Genomic DNA, 3870 nt, shown 5'->3' with positions numbered 1-3870 from the left:
AATCCCAGCTACTCGGGTGGCTGAGGCAGGAGAATTGCTTGAACCCGGGAGGCAAGGTTGCAGTGAGCTGAGATCATACCACTGCACTCCAGTGTGAGCAACAGAGTGAGACTCCATCTCAATAAATAAATAAAAGCTGAATAGTGTTCCATTGTGTATATATACCACATGTTCTTTATCCATTCATCCACTGATGGACACTTAGGTTGCTTCCATATCTTGGCTATTGTGAATAATGCTGCAATCAACATAAGAGTGCAGATATCCTTTCGACATGTAATTTTCTTTGGATATATGCCCAGTAGTAGGATTGCTGGATCAAATGGTAGTTTTATTTTTAATTCTTTTAGGAACCTTCATACTGTTTTTCCATAATAGTGTACTAATTCACATCTCTATCAACAGAAGACACCACTGAATTTTAAAAAGCAGATCATTTTAATAATGATATTTTGGGAGAAAAACACCCTATTCCTTTTAGCTGTATACATTTATATTATGACTTATCTTGATTTCAGAAACCTTAAATTGTGGAGAAAAAATATGCTTAGAATAGATAACATATGGTGTTCGTGCAGTTATTTTATCTCTTCTTGACCAAACTTCTTCTTTTAAAAAAAAAAAATAAGCATGTACATGGGCTCAGACATGACAAAATAAAAAAATTTATCCCAATGGCCTTTGACAATCCATAGTACTTCACCTTGAAAAGAGTACGGGTCAATAAATGTAATTTAGTTGAGCCACAGAAAAGTAATGGCCTCAGTTGGGCACAGCCTGGCTCTCCTGGGGTACTGGTGGCCTCTTATTACCCTGAGTTAGGCCTCAAGGGTTTGCTGAGCACCTGTGCCTGAATATGCCAAGTTCGTAGGACACCAAGGAACACAAGGAGAAGAAGCCTGTTCCCCAGGAAAATCCATTTCACTGGGCAATAGGTGCCTTCAGCTGCCTTGGAACCTGAAAGAGAGAAAGTAGAATGAGAGAGGACAGAGCACATGTGTGTAAGTCGAATGAGGGTTGTTGGCAGGTGACAAGGGCTGCTGTGCCCTCACCCCAAAACATTTCCTAGGGGTGCTACAGAGACCAGACAAAACATTTCCAAGGGGTGCTAGAGAGACCAGAAGGGGACTCTTACTTGCACAAAGCTGTGCAGCAAGGGTAAGAGTAGAGTTGCTGTAGCTAACAGGATTCAGAGCTGTGCAAGTGTAGATCCAATCCAGGTCATGAAGGCTTCAGGAGCCATAGAGGACTGACCCCACGTGGGACACAGCAGCCCCTGGTCCCATTGATGTCCACTCATATGTGATGGTCTCTCCTCCTTCCTCCACAGAACACCTCAAGATGGCATTACAGATCCCATTTTCAGAGATGATAGAATCCACTCTAACTTGAGGCCTTGGCAGCTGCTCTGTTTTGAAACAGTAATTTTAAAAGACACAAATAGCAATTAAGGACCTTTCCAGGTCATGCTAGGAGAAGACTCAGATCATCAAGGAGTAAGAACTCAGCAAGAAATCCAGACCCCTTTAATGCAAAGATCTCTGACTCTTTCATTTCCAACTCCTGAGCACCGGCATAAAGGAAGGGGTAAGTTGTATGTTTTTCAGCCAGCCACAACCACAGCCAGGGGCTGCCAGACTGAAGAAGGACAAAAAAGAATAAGGAGAGAGAAGAAAAAAGAATCTACCTAGGAAAGGTTCTGGACGGACAAAAAGAGTGAAACTGGGAGACCGCCTTTACCAAGGGTCATACAGCCCCCCAGGCTTAGTGGGTAGCCCACTCACCCTTACCAGTAGGGACCTGGTCCTCTATGCCCTTACTCACTGAATATCCTCAGAGTGTAACTGGACAGCTTTGCAGAGGTCTCTGTGGCTATCTGGGCACTGTAAAAGCCTATGTTTTCCATCTCCAGGTTGCTGAGCTGCGGGGAGTAGGACTGGGTGAAGCTCAGTCGCTTTTGCCATTTCGGATGAGTCACGTAGATTTTTGGACTTTTGCCTTCATAGGGTTCTAGGAAGGCAAAAGATGTTCCATTGCAAAGCCAAGTGATGAACTGGATCCTCTCTCCTGCAGGAAACTCCAGGGGAAGAGTTACTGACTCCCCCAGAACCCCATTCACCATCAATGGGGTTGAGCTGCTTTGTGAAACTAGATTCCCTGTGAACACAGAAGGAAAAGGCTACAAAATGTCCCTGACAATTGTCCCTCCCCACAAGTCTCCCAGTCAGTCATAGCTCCCCTATGTTGGGGCCCACAAGAATGTTGGACATAAACAGGTATTAGCAGTGGTGTTGTGGCTGGAGCTCAAAGTGGGCAATGCTTAAACTCTCCTTCCTGCTGGGATCTCCAGTGATCACCCCAGGGATCCTTCCAGCTAGGATCACTCATCCCTGTCTCTGGGGTTGTGTTCCCCTGAGAGCTACTGGCCCTGGAAGACCAGAATGGAGACCACTGGGGAAGTCAGAAGCCAGCCTTGCCCTGGCTGGTCCCTCTTTTTTATTCAGTTTGAGATTTCAACTCTCACAACTTCCTATTTTCTGAAATGTTTCTGCCCCACAGAACTGGAGTTTCACTGTCACTGCAGTTCTGGTATCTCAATGGTATGTGATATAAAGATCTCAGATGACATACAGGACACCTGCTTCTTAGTCCTGATCCTGCCTCTATTGAGATGTGCAGCTTTGGGGAAGCCTGTTGATTCTTCCAGTCCTTTTCTCTTCTTTTTTAAAACAAGGGAGATAAAATGCAGAGCTTTTCAGAATGCTTTCAACTCTGACTTTCACAATGTCATTATTCTATGTACCTTAGATTTTTCTCTTTTCCTTTTCCTCCTTGCCCTCATTCACTCCCTAGTCAGTCTTTCCCATGTCCAAGAGTCTCTCAATGTCTTCTATCTTCTTGTCCCCCAATCTCCCTAATATGAGGTCTCAGTTCTGAAAATATCTGGCTGGGCTGTGCCTGTGTAGACTTCCTACCCCCTGGGAGGTCAAGGAAGGAGCCTCTGACTCACTCACCTTTCTGAAACTGGAGGAGAAAGAGGAGAAGCTGAGCAAGAGGTTTCATGGTGGCAGGACTGACCTGGTTTGCCTTGAAGATCGCGAGGAGTTAAGAGGAAGGCAAAAGAGAACATTAAGTCCTGTTCTGCAGCATGAACAGCTAATAGATTAAACTCTCTTTGTTCCCCATGCTGATCACATGATCACATTTGCTAACCACTTCTCTCTCTTTCTTTCTTTCTTTCTTTCTTTCTTTCTTTCTTTCTTTCTTTCTTTCTTTCTTTCTTCCTTTCTTTTCTTTTCTTTTCTTTTCTTTTCTTTTCTTTTCTTTTCTTTTCCTTTTTTTTCTTTTTCTTTCTTTCTCCATTCTCACACTGCTACAAAGAACTTCCTGAGACTGGGTAATTTATAAAGGAAAGAAGTTTAATTGACTCACAGTTCCACATGTCTGTGGAGGCCTCAGGAAACTTACAATCATGGTGGAAGGCAAAGGGGAAGCAAGGACCTTTTTCACACGGTAGCCGGGGAGAGAAGTACAAGCAGGGGAAATGCCAGACACTTATGAAACCATCAGATCTCATGAGAACTTATTCACTTTCACAAGAACAGCATGGAAGAACCACCCCCATGATCCAATTACCTCCCACCAGGTTTCTCCTTCAACACGTGGGGATTACAATTCAAGATGAGATAGATGAGATTTGGGTAGGGGCACAAAGCCTAACCATATCTCTTTCTCTCATTCTTTCTTGTTTGCTTCCCGGCTTTTTTTCTTTTGTTCTTTCTCTCCTTCTTTGTGTGTGTGTGTGTGTGTGTGTGTGTGTGTGTGTGTGTGTGTGTGTGTATGGAGCAGAGAGCATATGGGAAATCTCTG

The 3870-nt window shown here is 44.0% G+C and overlaps 1 pseudogene; it reads right to left on the bottom strand.

Annotated features, from left to right (window-relative positions):
- On the bottom strand, positions 1802–2172 carry SLAMF6P1 (SLAM family member 6 pseudogene 1; annotated as a pseudogene).

The sequence above is a fragment of the Homo sapiens genome, chromosome 1 (genome assembly GCF_000001405.40).
Source record: "Homo sapiens chromosome 1, GRCh38.p14 Primary Assembly".
Classification (NCBI taxonomy): Eukaryota; Metazoa; Chordata; class Mammalia; order Primates; family Hominidae; genus Homo; species Homo sapiens.
The sequence above is the reverse complement of the archived record's forward strand: the minus strand, read 5'-3'. Positions and strand labels throughout refer to the sequence as shown.